This window comes from Homo sapiens, chromosome 15, assembly GCF_000001405.40.
Source record: "Homo sapiens chromosome 15, GRCh38.p14 Primary Assembly".
NCBI classification, from domain to species: domain Eukaryota; kingdom Metazoa; phylum Chordata; class Mammalia; order Primates; family Hominidae; genus Homo; species Homo sapiens.
In genome coordinates, this window is record NC_000015.10 from 77,408,539 (window position 1) to 77,427,765 (window position 19,227).

Sequence of the window (19,227 nt, forward strand, 5' to 3'; positions counted from 1 at the left end):
TTTAAAAAAAAAAACAGTCTAGGAATACTGCTGCAGAAACAGTTTTTCAAATGAAGTAGAGAACTGGCATTAGAAGATATTTTCTACTGTTTCTCCAATGCCTTAACTCTTCTTTCACACAAACCTCCACAATTAAAAAACTACTTCATACTCAAATAAAATCTACAAATATTGTAGCACGCCTAGAAAGAAGGCAGTTTTTCAGCATTTGAAATATTCAACTAATTATTCCAAAATATTTAAGAATTGAAGCAGGATGTGATGGCTCATGCCTGCAATCACAGCACTTTGGGAGGCTGAGGCGGGAGGATCACCTGAGCCCAGGAGTTTGCAATCATCCTGGGCAACACAGGGAAACTGTCTCCAAAAAATAATTTTAAAAATTAGCCGGATGTGGTGGCATGCCCCTGTGGTCCCAGTTACTCAGGAGGCTTAGGTGGGAGGATCGTTTGAGCCCGGGAGGTCAAGTCTGCAGTGAGCCATGATCATGCCACTGCACTCCAGCCTAAGTAACGGAGTGAGACCCCATCTCAAAAACAAACAAACACAAAAATATTTAAGAGTGGTACCATGGCATCTTCCCTTGCGATAACAAAACTGAATCTACTTTGAAAATTAAGAGGGGACCCTAACTTTAAACAATAAAAGTGCTCCTGTCAATGTGGGTGAAAGTATAAATGTACTGGGAAAATTAAAATCTTTATTTTTAAATGGAATATTTCTATCATCTTTTATATTATTTAGCACACACATGATACTATGCTTCAGGCATTATTTTAAGTACTTTTCAAATATGAGCTCATTAAAAACCCTCTGAGGTTGATGCTATCACTTCCCCCATTTTACACATAAGAAAACTAAGGCACCAGGAAAGAAAGTGATTTTCCCAAGTGGTAAAGATGAGATTCAGCTCCAGGCAGTCTGGGTCCCAAATCCATGTTCTTAACCACAATGTTGCTTACTCTCAGAAAGTAACATGCTCATGAAAGCCCAGTGTTTGACGCATAGTTAAGCATTTAATAAAAATCTGTTCAACAAATAAAAGAAAAAATGGAGATGGCAAAAAGCAGAAAACCCATTACTCACTGTCTCAACATATCATTATGAGTATAGTGGTATACTTTCTGTCAGTGTTTTTTCTTGTTCACAGAGGGATTTGTTTTCCTTTAACACTCAGCATATGCAATTTTGAGAAAATAAAAAACCTTAAGATACTAGCCTCTTAGCATTTTTAGAATAACAGTTAAAAACTGAACACTTGTATATATGCATGACATATATTCTAATTTCACCTCACAACCCCATAAAGTAAGTACAAGTATTATCCTTATTTTACAAATGAGGAAACTGAAGCACAGTTAAGAAACTAACATAAAGTCACATGGCCAGGAAGTGGCTGAGCTGGTAAATTCAAATCCAGGCAGTGTGACTTCTGAACTAGAATTCTTGACTATTCTTGGAGGGCAGGTTATGAGCTACTTGAAAGACAGTAATCGTGGTTTTTTTGTTTTGTTTTGTTTTTTGGTGTGTGTGTGTGTTTTTTTTTTTTTTAGACAGAGTTTCGCTCTTTTTGCCCAGGCTGGAGTGCAATGGCACGATCTTGGCTCACCATGATCTCGGCTCACTGGAACCTCTGCCTCCCAGGTTCAAGTTATTCTCCTGCCTCAGCCTCCTGAGTAGCTCCTCAGCCTCCCAAGTGATTCTCCTACCTCAGCCTCCCGGGATTACAGGCATGCGCCACCACGCCCAGCTAATTTTGTATTTTTAGTACAGATGGGCTTTCTCCATGTGGGTCAGGCTGGTCTCGAACTCTCGACCTCAGGTGATCTGCCTGCCTTGGCCTCCCAAAATGCTGGGATTACAGGTGTGAGCCATCGCACCCGTCTGTGATCATGTTTTTACAAAGTGGTATGATTTGTTTGGCTTGGCCTAAAATGAGGATGTTACCTTACAGATTTATTTTGTTTTACACTAACTCTGACTTAAACAATGAAAATTTTTAATATCTTCAGCTTTCTTGAACAAGCTAAATAAATCTTCATGTCTTAAATTTTATAAGGGTAAAGTACCTTATTGAAATCTTTCATTCAACAAATATTTGAATATCCACTACTTGTTAGGAACTGTGCTAATAAGATACAGTCTTTGCACTCAATGCATTGGCTCTTTCCACTCAGCATATAAATATGCTCAGATTTCTCACAACTAATAAATACAACACACTGGTCCATAAACCTGGATAATAGCTTTGTCGACTATTCGGAGGTAGAAATAAGAATGGAATCCTGCAATTACCTGCCCCCTATCCTACAAAGTAGATACACCTGTTATTTTTCTTGTAGTTCCTGAAGAGTGACTGACACTTAAATAATTACTAGATAGGTGCTATTTGCCTGCCTCATGCCATACTACCACCTCTTATCAGCTGGCAATGAAAGCCTACCTATTTTTAATGCAAAGGGGTTGAAATTAAAATGTTTTACTAAAACTTTGGTTTACCAGGCTACATGTTGTAATTATTTTTAAAATTCTAAAATTGTTATTTTGGGTTTGACTTTAATAACCAGATGATAAATGTGAATGTCTAAGACCACATGTGAAAGAAATAGTTAAAAAAAAAAAAAGGTGGGGCAAATTCACGGCAGATGGTAAGGCCAACCCTGCTTGATTTACAACCCTGCTTGTAAATGGAAACATTTGATTGTATGCAGTCTGAAGTTAAATCCTATTGATTGTGAAAAGGTAGCAGAGAGCCAAAAATTAAAAAGTCGAGGGCAGCAGAAACACTCCTCATCAGTTCACTGAGTGGCTTAATTGATAGCCAATGACTACAGGCACAATTAACAACCCAAGACCTAATAATGGAAAGGAAGTAAGAACAGAAACAACCTCCGAAACTAATGTTAACATATGGAGAAACTTCTACTGGTTGATAATTACTAGTGTGTACATAAAGCCTTGACAAGTTTCTTGACGCACACATGCTTACATCGGTGTTTAAATATAGCTGACACATATTTGAGTTCATAGTTTCTCATGTCCACATTCTCTAATAAGCTTCATTAGTACTTCATACCTTTTTTTTTAAATACAGTCTTGCGATGTCACCTAGGCTAGAGAGCAGTGGTGCGATCATAGCTCACTGCAGCCTTGAACTTCTGGACTCAAGTAATCCTCCTGCCTCAGCCACTTAAGTAGCTAAAACAGGCATGGGCCAGCACACCCAGCTAATACTTTTTTACTTTTTGTAAAGATGGGGGTTGGGGGTGGGTCTCACTACCCAGGCTGGTCTCAAATTCCTGGCCTCAAGTGATCCTCCCGCCTCATCCTCCAAAAGAGCTGAGATTACAGGCATGAGCCACCACACCCAGCCCCTAGTACTTTATATCTTTATCAGGTATGTGGCCTTCTACTGCTATTCTCTTTTTAAGTCTGTAATTTGTCTTATAAATTTATGGAGGGAGTGATGTTAACCCCAAACATAACTTGGTATCTTGCAAATAATAGGTATTAAGTGTTTATTAATGATATGAAATCCACCCTATAACCACACCTCAGCCCTTATCATTATGTGGAACTGCTCCTCCTTATCTCTCTGACTGGAATGCCCCATGGGCCAGTCCTTAAATTTCTTCTCTTCTCTAGCTACCCTCACTCCTCAGGTGATCTAATCTATACTGACAAGTCCCAAATGTAACCTGGACCATTCTTCTCTGAACTCTAGATTCCCATGTTCAACTGCTGACTTAATATCTCTATTACTTAGCATGTCTATTAGACATCTCAAAAACTTAACCAGTCTAGAACAGAACTCCTAAACTCTCCCCAAAAACCTGCTCTGCACCGTCCTCAAGTCTTCCTCATTTCTATTAATGACAACTCTATCCTTCCAGTTGCTCAAGTCAAAAACCTTGGAGTGATCCATTACTCTTTTCTTTTCACATTCTACAACCAATCCATCAGTAAATCTATCTGTATCAAAACATATCCAGTTAGAGTCACAGACAATCAGTATATTTATATTTTTATATACAGAAATACAGATTTTTACATAATTGTACATGGATACGTGGATTAGTATACATACATGCATTTCCTAGTTCTTTCCACTGAGAAAGTCTAGGAGCAATGATACTCCACAGCAATGAGCACACTTAGCATCCAGATCTTGGCTTCAAAATATCATCCTCCAATGAAAGGAACCAAGGTTCCTTAGAGAAATAATTGATTCTAGGGCTGAGGTAGGAAAAAAAAACAAGATGAACCTGAAGCATGTGGTAGTGTCAGAGAATAAAGAAGTGTGCATGTACATACGCATAAAAAAAGGATAGAAATATGCCAAAAAGACACAGAAGTAGACCTAAAAGAGATCCCAAGGGCCAAAACTGGAATAATTTGAGCAACAAAATAATGATAGCATTTAATTCTAACACTAAGAATAAAATAAATATCTATGAATTTGAACTGAGATAAATGATTAGATAGAAGGGAAAACCTTCCTTATAGAAGAATTCTAATTAATAAATGTAGAAAGAATGAGGAAAATTTAAAAAAGTACCTTCAGAAGCCACAGCAATAATTGCTGCAGGCAAGATCCACTAATGAATGCTAAAATTAGTGGGCAGAAACAGGATACTGGCAAAGCCTCAAAGTAGCTCTCTCAAAATATTTACCAATTACTGTGGTGGTTTTAATATATGTCCACAAATTCTTTTATACTTCTCCCTCCAGGAAGTGGAGTTTAATTTCCATCCCTTTAAGTGTGGGCTACACTTAGCAACCTGTTTCTAGTGCACGGACTATGGGAAAGGAAAAATAGTAACTTTACAGTGGACAAACCTAGCAGAAACCACCGTAACAGAGTGCTCACAAGTGATAAATTATTTGATATCATGCACCTCCTGTATGAAATAATAGGGGCACTTCACCTTTGCAGTACTCTCCCCCAAAATCCATAACCCCAATCTAATCATGAGAAAACATCAGACAAACCTAAACTGAAGAACATTCTACAAAATACTTGTGTCAAGGTTATAAAAGATAAGAAAAGACCAAGAAACTGCCACACATTGGGAGAGACAAAGAAGACAACTAAAGCAATGCAATATCAAGGTTTGGATAACAGAATGGAAAAAGAATACTAGAAAAACTGGTAAAATATTAAAGCAGTTTGAAGCTTGGTTGAAGCATCGTACCAATACTAATTTCTTAGCTTGATAAATGCACCATGGTTATGTAGGATGTTAACATTAGAGGAACCCAGGTGAAGAGTATATAGCAGCAGTTTTTCTGTTTGTTTCTTTGAGACAGGGTCTTACTCTGTTGCCCAGACTGGGGTGCAGTGGTGCAATCATGGCTCACTACAGCCTCTACCATCCAGGCTCAAGTGATCCTCTGACCTCAGCCTCCTAAGTAGCTAGGCCCACAGGCACATGCCACCACACCCGGCTAATTTATTATAGTTTTTAGAGATGAGGCCTCCCTATGTCGCCTAGGCTGGTCTTAAACTCCTGGGCTCAGACGATCTTCCCACTTCAGCCTCCCATAGTACTGGGATTACAGGAATAAGCCACCACACCCAGCCTGCATTTTCTTTCTTTTCTTTCTTTCCTTCCTTCCTTCTTTCTCTTTCCTTCCTTTCCTTCTGTCTTTCCTTCCTTCTTTCCTTCTTTTTTTTTTTTTTTTTTTTGAGACAGGGTCTTGCTCTGTCACCCAGGCTGGAGTGCAGTGGCACAATCACAGTTCACTGCAGATTGAACCTCCCAGGCTCAAGTGATCCTCCCACCTCAGCCTCCTGAGTAGGTGGGACTACAGGTGTGCACCACCATGCCTAGCTAATTTTTTGTATTTTTTTTTTTTTTTTGTAAGCGACGGGGTTTCACCATTTTGCCCAGGCTGATCTTAATGTCCTGACCTCAACCCACCTTGGCCTCCCAAAGTGCTGGGACTACAGGTATGACCCACTATGCCAGGCCCAATTACTGTATTTTCTATCTTATCCTCTGACTTGAAACGAACATGGTTTGGACAAGAAAGAATGGGCTTTGAATCCTGGTTCCATCACTTGACAGGGTGTGTCTGAATATGTTATTTAACCTTTCTAATCCTCAGTTTCTTCATCTGAAGGAGAACAAAGGAAATAATATAAGGTAAATAACAAAATTGTTGAGTTAGTGTTAGGATCAGAATTAGGTATTAAAGTGTCTAGCACATAGGAGGTACTCCACAAATAGAAGCTAGTATTATTTGCTCTTCATTTGCTCTACAGCTTCACACTGACTTCTAGCATTTCATGCTCCTCATTTTCTCCCAACTGGATCACCTCCTTACAGGCTTCCAGCTCATAATCCAGGAGGACTCCATAGTTCTTCAGTAGAGCTACAATACTCAATATCATTAATTCCCTCAACCAACTGTCCTTCAGATATCTCTACCAAACAGATATCTACAAAGCAGCAGATAACAGCCTGGGCAGAATTTAAACCCAAGCTGTTCATCTTACAAACAAGGAGAGTAACAGTAACAATACATAACTCATAAGGTTCTTGAGAGTATTAAATAGTTTCTTCAGATAGTCTGATCACTCACTGCTGGAGAAAAATCAACCACGAAAATTGGTACTGCTACAAATGTGAGGTCTACAATCTGAAATAAACAGGTCCTCAATGCTAACTAACAATCCTTCTTCAGTTTCCTAGTCATGTAACTAACAATCCTTCTTCAGTTTCCTAGTCATGTGTCTGTTTACCTCTCTCTCCCTTACCTCCACCCCATCCACTGTTAGCCATTCCCTTGGAAGCCGTTTACAAAGAGTATGTATAAACTACAGACTATCTTTTTTTCCATTCCTTTCACAGGGGTGGATTAATTTTACCTGGCTTTTTTGTTTGTGTGTGTGTTTTTTAAGAGATAGGGTCTCATTATGTTGCCCAGGCTGGCCTTCAACTTCTGGGTTCAAGCGATCCTCCTGCCCCAGCCTACTGAGTAGATGGGACTACAGGCACATGCCACAGCACTTGGCCTCACATACATTGTTTAAAAACTCCTATTCTACCACGTTCCCTTCACTCTTAGCAGATGATCAAAAATTACACAAGACATGTCATCAACTCTTCCTTCCTGCCCTGTCAGTTACAAACTTATTTACATTGCCATCCATCTCCTTCCTTTCTGCTCACTGGAAAAGTGAGACTACCTTCTACTTAAGACCAACTTCTCTGCCTACGCCCTGGATCCCATTCCTTATTACCTTCAAATCCTTGTCTCCATCCACCAGCCAGTCTCCCACGCCCACCAAACACACACATATACACTCTTCTTCAGTTTCTCCTCTCCAGTGGCTCTTTCCAGGCTCACATTAAGAATGTCCAAGATTCTCTAAATCCCAAGTATCTCCCCCTGCTTAAAGACTCCTTCAGAGTCCTTTGTTGAAAACATTGTACCCCTCTCAATTAGCTACACTTACAGTTGTCATTCACTTTTCAACACCCACCCCCATGCATTACAATGTAGCTAAGTGCTCTAGCTGAAGTTATAAAAGACATCCTAATCACCAAGTCTCAGAGACTTCATTAGGTCTTTATCTTACTTTTCCTTTTGGAGGCAGGATACAGTGTTGACCACTCCTAGCCCTTGAAATAATATTCTCCCTCAGCTTCCATGACAAATCTCTATTTCCTTTTTTCATCTTTGGTCTGTCTGGCACAGATGGTTGGCTTCTCTTCAGCTGCTTGCCCAATCTACTCAGCGGATCACAACAGAAATGTAGGAATCATCCAAAATCTTCAATCTTGCTCAATTCTATAATCTAAATAGATTTATCCTGTCCCGTTAATAATACTTCCTAAATCTCTCATAGAGCCACTCCCTCTTCTACACTCTTCATCATTTCTCACCAGGAATAGCTTCCTAACTGGTCCTTGCTTCCAGTTTTGTCCCTCTCTAATTCAATATTCACTTCACTGTCAAAATGACAGGTCTAAAATACAAATCTGATTCTACCACAGCATAATTTTTTTTCCCCACTAAATCCCCGCAACTTTTGGAATTAAGTTAAAGTTATTAACTTGGTTCACAAGACAATCATTGATTTGGCTTATTACTTCATCCACCCCTGTTCTAAAGCTGTGCTGCTGCTGTCCACTCACCTGCAGCTATTGAGTATGTGAATGTAGTTGTCCAAATTGAGATGTGCTATAAGTGTAAATTACACACCAGATTCTGAAAACAGTAGAAAATTATGCACCAGATTCTGAAGACAGTATGAAAATGGAAATGTCATATTTCAATATTACTTTTTATACTGAATGCATGTTGAAATGATATTTTGGATATACTGAGTTTATATTATTAAAATTAATTTCACTTTTTACTTTTTAAAATTTGGTTACTAGAAAATTTTAAATTGTATATGTAACATATTTGTGGCTTGTATTAAATTTTATAGGACAGCACTGGTATAAGATGTACTTTCCCTCTTTCTGGACCTAGTTAACTCTTACCTATTATTGAAGATTAGCTCAGGTAACACTCTAAGATGCATTCTAGACACCCTCCACCCATCCCCCGAAGTCTGAGTCAGCTACCCCTCCTCTGTGCTTCCATCCATAGGAATGTGTGCATGCCCCTGTCATACTATAATTATTGGTTATCACCTATCTTCTCCTCCTCAACTGTAAACTCCTTGCAAAAAGGAATCTCATATTCTATAATACTCAGGTCCTACCTACCACCATGCCTGGCACTTAAAAGGTACTCAAACATTTGTCAAACAAATGTAAACTATCTATTCCTGGCCTGAAGGTTACTAGGATTTCTACTTCACTAAGGAAAACAAACCAGCCTTGAGGGAACCTAGAAAGTACCAGGAGCTTTAGTAATGAAAGGACTAGGAAGGAGAGTGGGGTGGGGGGATGCGGGGCGGGGGGGGAGGGGGGCAAGAGGTAGGAATCACAGTAAAGAGATCAGCAAATGACAGAATAACGCTCATCACACACATCTGCCTCTTACACTGAAAACAGGGATTTGCAACACTGATATGGAGCCTTGTACTCACACTTGGCATGCCAGGGGCCACAGTTTGGTTACTAAATTACTTAAACAACCCATCCAACAAAAGGGTATGATTTGGCAGGTATCAACACAAATGGCTAGGGCCCAGCACCCGTTCCACTTAAACAGCACATCAGTACAGTTAAAAAGAACAACAAATCTCTCTCATGAAGCAAATGCTAATCTCATGATGCTTCACCACGGAACAATTTAGAAGAGTTATTATATGAAATGTGCCAAAGCATGAATTTATAGCTGATGCTTATTTGGCAAATATGGTTGGCACTGCTAGATGTTGAAAAACATGTATGCAAATAAGCAAATAAAAGTTTTTAAGCTCTCAGACTTAAATATTTACATTACCATAAATGTACAAAGATAAATGTTTATATGAGTACACGTATAATGCATTCCAGGAACATATTTTTTAATGTGATTGTCGGCAAACAGTTATGAAGTGGCATTATTTCTTCATGGGCCTTCAGGGTAGACTCTTAAAAATGAATTTTGAATGTTAATAGGCTACAAACATTATTGTGAAAGTTTCTGTATACTATCAACTGGATAAAACGAATAGTTGAGGTATCATAATAGTTCAAAGTGATCTTATCTTTTTCTTTCACCAAAACACTTCTCTTCCAACCCTAGAACACAGCCACACATAAATTTTAGCCTCTAAGTTGGGACAGGAGATGGGGGGTAGTGAGGGAAAAGAAGGAACATACATTAAAAAGCCTTAAAGAAAATAATTTGACATTTTTTCCCACATAATGTAGTCATGTTAGAGAATCCAAAATAAAGACATGATAAAATATTTCCCTTTCCCCCCCGACAGCAATGAAAAGGGGATGTTTGTTTTTTCACATAGTTTGTGAGTTGGTCATATCCAAAATTCACTAGCAATGCTATGACTTCTACTTCCATTGTTCATCTCTGGGCTGAGGCTATAACCCTCAACTTTGAAGCCAAGAAAATGTACCATATCTGCCATTACAGTTTACTAAATAAGTCACCAAAGAGAAGTCCCAGGCAAGTCAGAAAGTAATTAGGGTCGTCAGTGAATTGAGCTATCTAGAAATGCTCTGAGATTACGAGAGAAGCCATCATGAAGTGAGTATCCAAGATTGCTCATGGAAAGTTTTACCCCGGTGGATAATTCACGTTTTTCACTTCCACACTGCAGAGAGCAATATGGGTTCTCTGACTATACACATCACTACATCACTTCATTTATCGGGGGAAAAAAAAAGACGCTGTGGCTGAACAAAAATCAGTAAGTAGGCCCCAAAACAGAATCCTCAAGGCAATCCCAATTCAGGTGAAAAGCTGTTCACGTACATCATCCAATGACCTAAAAATAGTCTTTTATGTAAGTCTCTAAGTATTTAATTCAACGTATGATCTTACCACATTCAACAGAGGCAGAAAAAAAATCAATTAGGTTTTCTATAGCAAGGCCAATAAAGATGAAATCATAGTTTTCCTCTAACTCATCACTACCCCCTCAACGTCAGCCTTCCAATAACTCCATTCCACAGCTCTCAAATTCCTGAACTTGGATCTTTAAAAAACAACGAATCGCAAAAAGTAACATTTAACAGGCCAGAGGCAGGCGGGGGAGGAGGGTCTCTCCCGGTGCTCTCAGCAATCTTTAACGTAGCCAAAGGAGGAAAAAACGAAATCAAGCTCCCAGACGGATGGTGCATGCGACGAGAGGGGAGGGGGCAGACGCGGTTCAGACGGCAAGTCCCCATCGAAGGAGGAAAGAAAAGTTGCAAGAACGGATGGGTCAAAGGGCAGAAAAGAAAAAAACTGAGCAGCCGAACCACTCACAACCCCCAAACGACCCCGCCAGCCCACACGTTCGCGGGCTCCCCAGCCGCGGCGCGAAGGGAGCAGGCAGGGAGCCACCCGGCTCCGTCCCGACGCTGCCGGCGAGGCTGCGCCGATGCTCCCGGGTGCGGGAGCGGGCTGACCGTGTGGACCCGGCAGGAGCCAGAGAAGCCCCTCCTGCCCCGGCCTCCCCGCGTCCAGCTCCTCCAGGCTTCACTTTCCCCCGCAACCTCCCAGCCGCGCCCGGGGGCGTCCCTCGCGGCAGGTCCCAACTTTCCTTCCTCTGGGGGGCGTCGCGCTCCCGGGGCCGCCGCCGAGGGAGGGGGCAGGGGCGGCAGGGGGCGCGCGGCACCGGCGGGGCGCGGGGGTGGCCGGGGAGCTAGAGCCCGCGCCGGGCGGGACGCACCGGCCGCCAGAGCCCCGGCGGCGGCGCCACCCAGAACCCGCGCCGCCACCCAGAACCCGCGCCGCCCCGCCCGGATTCCCCCGGGTCAGCGCCCTCAACCCGCGGCAACCCTGGTCCCACAGACGGCGCGTGAGTAGAAGACAACCGAGCGGACGCGGACAGCCGGGCCGCTGTTACCTGAGGGGCGCACACGCCGCCGCGGCGACCACCATCACCGTCCGTCCCGTCCCCTTCCTGGTGACCACGGCCGCCGCCGCCGAGCAACTGACACTGACTAACAACAACTAACTAACTACTCGCCGCGGCCGAGTCCACCGCGCGCTCCCGGCCGCTCGCCGCCCGCCCAGCCCACCAGCCTGCCCGCCTCCTCTCGGCCCCGCGCGCCGCCCCTCCGCGCGCGCCCTCGCCCGCTCGCCGCGCTCCTGGAGCCGTGAGCACGCGCGCGCTCACGGGCCCCGGTCGTCTCCCAGGTCTCCCTCAGCCCCAGCGGGAGGAGTCACCGCCAGGCCCCTCCTCTCTGCCTTCCAACCTCCAGAGGACGAGACCTAAAGGGTGCCTGATTGGCTGCGGAGGGCGGGGCTAAGACAAGGGGCGGGGCTGCCGAGACCTTGGGCCCGCGTGAGGGAAAATTTGGGTTCGATTAAGCCGCAGAGGAAAAGACCAGGGGAGTCTGGGCCCATTTGGGCGTCGGGGCCCGCTAGGTCAGCCGTCATCGAATACAGAATATGTTTTCGAGGACGCTAATATGTAGTCATGACCAATTTCAGTTCTTCTACTTTCTGCGGGCCTTCGCAATAAAAAAAAAAAAACTACATCTCCCAGAAACCTCCACGAAAATAAGGCTCACCTTGCGTAACCACGTAGTCCTTCGCCGCATTGGGGCAAAATAATCCCTTCATTTTTGTGAAGGTACCGTGGAAAATATTTCATTTTTCTTCTCACCGGAGCAATTGTAAATGCTATGCGGTAAGAGGAGTTACCTGTGGAAAGGTGGTTAAGAGATTAGGTAAAGAAAAGGAAAGGACACCAAAATAAAGTGCTGCGGAAGAATTTTTGTCCAGCTGTGAGACGACGAGTGCGTGAAGTGAAGGCGATTGAGAGGGGCTGAGGGAATTGTCCTCTGTGGAAGGGACTTTCTTTTGGCCCTAGGCCCCTTCCTGCCCCTGTCGTCAGCAGGTCAGTAAGCAAGGCGAGCTTGGGGGTGGCCCCAGTCGAGATGCCCTTCACCCCTTGAAGATCACCCCTCTTTTGGTGGTGGTGGTACTGGTTTGTCTCAGTTGGAGGCCGGCTGAATGGGGGCGCCTCAACTTCCGGTTGGGGGAGGGGAGGAAGGCCGTCCTGGGGAGGGGGGACACCCTCACTTCCTGTGGGGGGGTGGTGATGGTTTGGGGGTGTCCGACCCACTTCCAGTGCTGATGAGGGCTTGAAAAGGTGGTGCTTGGTGCCATTCGCGGAGACATTATCTTGCAGCTTGGGGATTGTGTTTTATGTGAAAAGTTAGATTATTCCAAGTTGTGCTGAACACCAACCTGCAGTCAGAATTTATGAGTTTGCTTCCACGTGGAATATGGAGCATTTCCTCCCCAGCAAAATTGTCTGTGTTTTCTTCAAAGAATTCGAAAGCCCTTGTTAAAAATCTCTATGCACCTTTGCAAGACGACATAGCTTGTGTGACTGATGAATTGCCAACACCTGCACCCCTACTCAAGTCCAGCCTTGGCTGGGTGAAGTGTGGTGCCCTCTGCCTTGACATGCAACAGGAAATCTAGCTTCTCTTTTAAGGAGATAACTTTTTATTTAGGGGACTGAATATTTTACATAAAATCTGGGGCATTTTCATCTTAGCAGAATGAAAGTATCACACTGAAGTACTCAAATTTGAGGTTACCTTAACTGATAAAATTGACATCTTAAATTATTAGGACTGTTGATTTTGGGCTACAGGTTTTGCCCTGTGCCTGAGAACAGCTTCTTCAGCCTTAAAAATTCTTATGTGTAGCTTACACGTAACATTTTTGAAAGTTGTATTTTATTACATTTTCCTCCTTTGTAATTTAATTCATCACTGATTTTTAAATGGTATCTGTTCTTTGTGGTTTTAAAGTATAAAGCAAGGGTCATGAGACTCAGCTCAGATTCTAAACAGGAAAAAGTTGGCTCACAAAGGACAAAAGGTCAATAAGAACTTTCTGGTTTTCAGTAGCTCATTTTTAATAAACTATATGTGAGGCGGTAATAAACACTCAATAATTTTGATTCCTTGGTTCTGTTGTCAGATAACACAATACTTAGAAGGGTGTGTGTCTGTGTATTGAAGGAATCAATCTATTTGAAGCTTACTTTGTGAAATCTGAATGTTAGTAATTTTAGTATATATATCAGTGAACCTAGAACTGTATTGTCTTGCAAGAATTTTTGAAGTAATAAGGCCTGTGTACTTTTTCTTTTGGGATTGTACTTAATCTAGCCTCAGACTCTGCGATTATTTTAATTCTATAATAGTTTTTTTAAAAAGCTGTTTGGTCACGCCTGTAATCACAGCACTTTGGGAGGCCTAGGCGGGCAGATCACGAGGTCAGGAGTTCGAGACCAGCCTGGCCAGCATGGTGAAACCCCGTCTCTACTAAAAATACAAAAATTAGCTGGGCGTGGTGGCGTGCGCCTGTAGTCCCAGCTACTCAGGAGGCTGAGGCAGGAGAATTGCTTGAACCCGGGAGGCGGAGGTTGCAGTGAGCCAAGATCGCTCCACTGCACTCCAGCCTGGGCGACAGTGAGACTCCGTCTCAAAAATAGATAAATAAATAAATAGCTGTTTGGGTTAGGGTTCATTAGAAAATATGTTTTAAACCAAATATTACAGTAAAAAAAAATACATGTTTTAATCTTCTGTGGTCACTTTTAAAAAAGAATCTAAGACCCTAAAATCAAGTATGATTTATATTTTGAAAGACCACACGATTGCTGCAGTAGTTGACTGAAAAAGCAAGACAAAACATTGTCTTTGTGGTTATTAATAGGTTAGGAACATGTAGACTGCCCGAAGTAAGAATTAATTGATTAAAGAAGAAGTGTTCACTATCTTCTATATTAATGTAATATAGAAGAAAATATAATATGGTCACCCTGACAAATGAAACTGTAGTGTTAGGAATTATTGAAGTATGGAAAGATTGTAGAACTAAATGAAAAAAATAGAGAATATCATGTTAAAATACTGATTGAGATAGAGTAATATTGCCTTTTGGAAACTGTCTTTATTAAATTGGTCTTTATGGTACTCCATGGAAGAAATACAGTATAATAGAAATAAGAAAAATTGTTGCAGCTGAAAGACTTGAGCAGCTTGAAGAACTATCTGTTTAGAAGAAAGCAATATATAAAATACCTATCTGAAAGAAGGTATTTTGTGATAAGTGGCAGTTATTCATTGGTTCCATCAAAGAAGAAATATTAGAAAAGCTTGTGAAAAATAGAGAGAGAAGGTCCATAGAACCTGTTTTTATTCTTTTTAAAAATGTTTCTTTAGAGAGGCTTGCTGTCCTCCAAAGGTTTTTTTTTCTTAATGCCCTTTGTGCAGTTTTCTTTGCATGTTTAATAGAAATATAGTATCAAAATTTAAAGAATTAATATTTTTGTACATGTACTGTTACTTCAAGTTAATGAATTTGAGATTTCATTCCATTACTTGCCATATATGTAACAAAGAAAGTGTCAAATCTTTTTTTCAAATACTTGGATTAGATAACCATTTTCTTTTCCAAAGACAGTCATTGGATACACTGCTCACAGCAGTTTGAAATATTAAAACCGTAGGTCACAATTCTGGATTCCATCTGACTGAAATTAGATTATCCACAGAGATGTTATACATAATACAGAAGTGTCTTTTCATTCTTTCATCTACTTTACTTTGTAAAATCAGGCTAATGTTTTGCAACTGTTGCTTTCCTTGTTTGTCGTTTTGGTGGTGGTTTGTTTTTGTTGTTGTTTTTGCCGTAGGGTTGAGGATTAAAGAAAGTATCTTAAGAACCTGAATGGTTTTTCACCTTACTGCTTTGCTGTCTCTATTTCATAGCCTTCACAGGTATTCAAATGAGAATACCCTTTACGTGACTTTTCATTATTTAAGCAAAAGTTTAGAGTGTCTACTATATGCCAGTCACTGTTCTCAGGACTTTGAATACAGTAAATACGGCCAAATATTCATATTCTACTGTAGTTTACTCTCTAATTTACAAATTAAAACTAGAATTTTGCTCCCTTGGTATTCCTAAATAAGATCTATGTTATGATCGTTGTTCAGACTGGGTAAAGAAGCAGCCCTAAACTTGATCTCTCCTGGTCTTAATCTCTAAGCCATTCTAAACCCAGATTTGAATGTTTCAGCCTAATTTTTCTCCAGACCATAGAAGCCCCTGTGTTAAATATGCAGTCCCTTTCATTGATACATGTATCATTTTCCTACCATTCTAGCTTCTTTTGTATTGTGAAAACAAATGAGAGTGAACAGTGGGGAAAATATGGGATCAGATAGGCCCAAATTCAGCACTGGTCTCTGCATTTTACTGGCTGAGCTTACTAGCTTGGTAACCATGAGCAATTTATTTGACCTCCCTAAGCCTCAGTTTTCCTAAATCCAAATGGGGTTGTTTGGTGGAATCAGAATGTTGTATGTAAATCTCCTGGTCCAATGCCTGGTGCCAGAAGCTTCATTAATGCAATTATCTTACCCCCAATCTTGCTTCTGCTACTCTGGCTATTGTGATTTGCCCACATGTCTGTTTTAAGCTTTACATTTTCCCCACAGTATGGGATGCAGTGGTAGACTGACTGAGCTTCAGCCTTGTCCCCCTATCAGCATGCTCACACAGTTGTCAAGATTTAATTTTTTTTCCTTGTGGGAAGGAGAAATCACTAATTTCCATGATTAGAAGATATACAAAATAGAAAAGTTTCAAGAAAAGGAATCTTAATCTTGGCACAAATCACTAAGGTAATTTGAATTGTTACAGGCAGACTTTCAACTCATTCTCCTAAACTTATTTAAATACGAAAACCAAAAATGACCTTTCACACTATGATCATACCTCACATTATTCATCTACACATCCAAACGGGATCGCCTCTGGGGGGAAAAAAATCTGTACTGCACCCAGCATTAATATTTTTTTTTGCTCATGCTATTTTCTGCCTGAAACACTCTTTTTTCCTAGGAATCCCCATCTATCAAAATGCCACTTTCTTTGAGGTCGTTTCTCAAGTACCACATTTAAGAAATATTTTCTGATATCCATCCTCTTCTACACTCTCCCAAACTGTACACGTTCTGTCCATTAACTCTCCAGAGCATTATACCTTTCTTACAGCACTTACTGTCCAGTGCTCCTCTTGTTTGTTTTTATTGCGTTGTTGTAGGTAGAGTTTATGCCTTCCCTAAAAGGCTGCAGACTAGGTCTTATTCCACTCTGTGCTGTCATACCTGGCACAAGACCATTCACATCATAGGTATTCAGTAAATATTTGTGGACGTGAGCTGGCTCTTGGAGTATGACAAAACTGATCAATAACTTTTGTCCACAATTATGCCCAGCATCAGCACAATGGCTATCATACATTAGACACTCAAATATCTATAAAATGAAAGAGTGAATAGTAAGTCATCATTCTCTCATTTGGGAGCTTCTTAGGGTGTCAGATAAGCATATATTAAGCACCTCCTATATAACTGGAGCTGTAAGAACTGATCTCTGCTCCTCAATTTAATTGGAAAAAAGTAAATTGTTACTAATATCTGCAGACTTTGAAGATGGTAGGTGTTTGAGTAGGGATGGCATGGAGAGCTTAATATAGAATTGTTTGCATTGTGAGAGATACCCTCTGCTACCTGAACTCAGAAACCAAATAGATTTTTATATCAAATATTTGGACACTTAACTTGTATTTCCACTCCTAGGTATATATCCAAGAGAACTTAAAACATGTTCACACAAAAACTTGCACACAAATATTTGTAGCAGCCTTATTTGTAAAAGGCAAACTCAAATGTCCATTAATTATTGGATGACTAAACAAAATGCGATATAGCCATACAATGGAATATTATTCAGCAACAAAGAGAAACAAAGTAGCAATACCTGCTGTAACATGGATAAAACTTGAAAATATTAAAGTGAAAGAAGTCACATACAAAAGGCAACCTATTATGTGATTCCATTTATTTAAGATGTCTAGATTAGGCAAAACTAATAGAGACAGAAAGTACATTAGTGGATGGGAATGGGAGTGACTGCTAGTATGGAGTTTCCTTTGGAAGTGATGAAAATGTGCCAGAATTAGATAGTGGTGGTGGTTGCATAACCTTATATACTAAAATATCTTGTATACTAATATACAGTTGACACCTGAACAATGAGGGGGTTCGGGGTGCTAACCCCTGTGTTGTCAAAAATCCATGTATAACTTCTGACTCCCCAAAAAGTTAACTACGTAAATAGCTTACTGCTGACTGGAAGCCTTACCAATAGCATAAATAGTTGATTAACACATGTTTTATATGTTACATGTACTATGTACTGTATTCTTACAATAAGCTAGAGAAAGAAAATGTTACTAAGAAAATGATAAGGAAGAAAAAATATGTTTACTATTTATTATTCGTTAAGTGGAAGTGGATTATCATAAAGGTATTCATCCTTGTCATCTTCACATTGAGTAGGCTGAGAAGGAGGAAGAGGAAAGGTTGGTCTTACTGTCTCAAGTGGTGGAGGCAGAAGAAAATCAGCATATAAGTAGACTCATGCAGTTCAACCCATGTTGTTCAAGGGTCAACTGTACAAAAAAAATCCTGAAATATACACTAAAGGGGTCAGTTTTATGGTATGTGAATTATATCTAAAAGAGAGAGATACTTAGACTTGAAGAATAGAGAATTTTGAATGGAGCCAGAAGAAAGAAGCAAGAGGTGTGAAAGCAAGGAAATGATCATTCTTTCTCAGATCCTAGAGAGAAATATAAGCAGCTAGGTACAGGGCTAAAGGTATGTTAAGGATCAGGTGAGGATGGATATGAGGATAGCTTCTGGGTTTTTGTCTTAATGTAGCAGGGATTTTGGTAAATACTTAGACTACAGAGGTATTAACAAAGGAGAAAAACATCTTATGACCTTGAAGGAAGCTTCAGATTTCTTCTTGATTAGGTCAAGGATGTGGTATATGGTCTTTTTGGTTTCTGTGTTACGGTCAGCTGAGTTTAAAGAGTGGGAGTATTCTAAGGTAAGGAGTCTAGTAGCAATCAAAACAAAGTTACTGGGGAAGATGGGAGAATAGAGACTAGACAAAGATGTTAGAATTTGATTCTAAAGCTCTCCTCAGGTAATAAAAATAGATAAATCTTAATGAGAAGGAACCAAGGGCAGTGATTTGGAGAAGTCAGTACAAATAAAGGTATTCATTTGAAGAAATATTTGAGTGCCTTTTATGTGCCAGGCACTATTAAATAAAACTATAGCTATTTTCCTTATTTGACTTTTTTTCTGAAGATAAAATCTTATGAGTGTGATTAATGGTTCTACAAGCATGGGTAGTTCTAGATATGATACCTACATTTCCCTAAAAGATTGTACTGATTTTTAATGATAACAGCAATGTATAAGGATGTTGTTTTCACCACGATTTTACCAGCAAAAATATTTGGCTAGTTGAACACACATAAAATTATTGTTCTCTTTGCTTATAATCTGATAAGTGTTTCCATACCTTGGAACCTGGATCTGTTGGAACATGAAGGAATTCAGGACCCTTATACATGTTACCCCATATGGCTTCTTTAAAGGATATGGATTTTTGAGGATCCTAGAAATCAAAATTCTCTAATTTTATTCAGCTCAAAAAAAAATTTTATTCAGTGCTGCTGTCCTTATTTTCTGAATAATATTCAGA

General features: G+C 40.6%; 2 protein-coding genes across 38 annotated transcripts in view, besides 6 other annotated features; one reads left to right on the forward strand and one right to left on the reverse strand.

Moving 5' to 3' along the window:
* The window catches only part of PEAK1 (pseudopodium enriched atypical kinase 1), a 320,261-nt gene extending 307,885 nt beyond the window's left edge, over nucleotides 1-12,376 (reverse strand). For 26 of the 31 annotated variants that reach the window (XM_047433077.1, NM_024776.5, XM_047433065.1 and 23 more), the window contains exon 1: nucleotides 11,468-11,566. The gene's annotated coding sequence lies outside the window, so the exon portion shown is untranslated. Of the gene's footprint in view, nucleotides 1-11,467; nucleotides 11,567-12,137 lie in introns of those variants that run through there. The other 5 variants (XM_047433076.1, XM_047433057.1, XM_047433073.1 and 2 more) reach the window with 1 other exon arrangement.
* Nucleotides 7,128-7,796: an enhancer, noted in NCBI's record as "OCT4-NANOG hESC enhancer chr15:77708008-77708676 (GRCh37/hg19 assembly coordinates)". NCBI's record gives its function as "activates a minimal SCP1, AML or CMV promoter by ChIP-STARR-seq in primed H9 embryonic stem cells {active_cell/tissue: H9 hESC(primed)}" and the evidence as "EXISTENCE:reporter gene assay evidence [ECO:0000049][PMID:30033119]".
* Nucleotides 10,952-11,161: a silencer, noted in NCBI's record as "silent region_6697". NCBI's record gives its function as "represses an Ori minimal core promoter by ATAC-STARR-seq in GM12878 lymphoblastoid cells {active_cell/tissue: GM12878}" and the evidence as "EXISTENCE:reporter gene assay evidence [ECO:0000049][PMID:35858748]".
* Nucleotides 11,172-11,341: a silencer, noted in NCBI's record as "silent region_6698". NCBI's record gives its function as "represses an Ori minimal core promoter by ATAC-STARR-seq in GM12878 lymphoblastoid cells {active_cell/tissue: GM12878}" and the evidence as "EXISTENCE:reporter gene assay evidence [ECO:0000049][PMID:35858748]".
* Nucleotides 11,592-11,911: a silencer, noted in NCBI's record as "silent region_6699". NCBI's record gives its function as "represses an Ori minimal core promoter by ATAC-STARR-seq in GM12878 lymphoblastoid cells {active_cell/tissue: GM12878}" and the evidence as "EXISTENCE:reporter gene assay evidence [ECO:0000049][PMID:35858748]".
* HMG20A (high mobility group 20A) overlaps nucleotides 12,350-19,227 on the forward strand; it is a 99,163-nt gene continuing 92,285 nt past the window's right edge. For all 7 annotated transcript variants that reach the window (XR_001751049.3, XM_011521158.4, XM_047432109.1 and 4 more), the window contains exon 1: nucleotides 12,350-12,466. The gene's annotated coding sequence lies outside the window, so the exon portion shown is untranslated. The remainder of the gene's footprint in view (nucleotides 12,467-19,227) is intronic.
* Nucleotides 12,362-12,411: an enhancer, noted in NCBI's record as "active region_9894". NCBI's record gives its function as "activates an Ori minimal core promoter by ATAC-STARR-seq in GM12878 lymphoblastoid cells {active_cell/tissue: GM12878}" and the evidence as "EXISTENCE:reporter gene assay evidence [ECO:0000049][PMID:35858748]".
* Nucleotides 12,802-12,851: an enhancer, noted in NCBI's record as "active region_9895". NCBI's record gives its function as "activates an Ori minimal core promoter by ATAC-STARR-seq in GM12878 lymphoblastoid cells {active_cell/tissue: GM12878}" and the evidence as "EXISTENCE:reporter gene assay evidence [ECO:0000049][PMID:35858748]".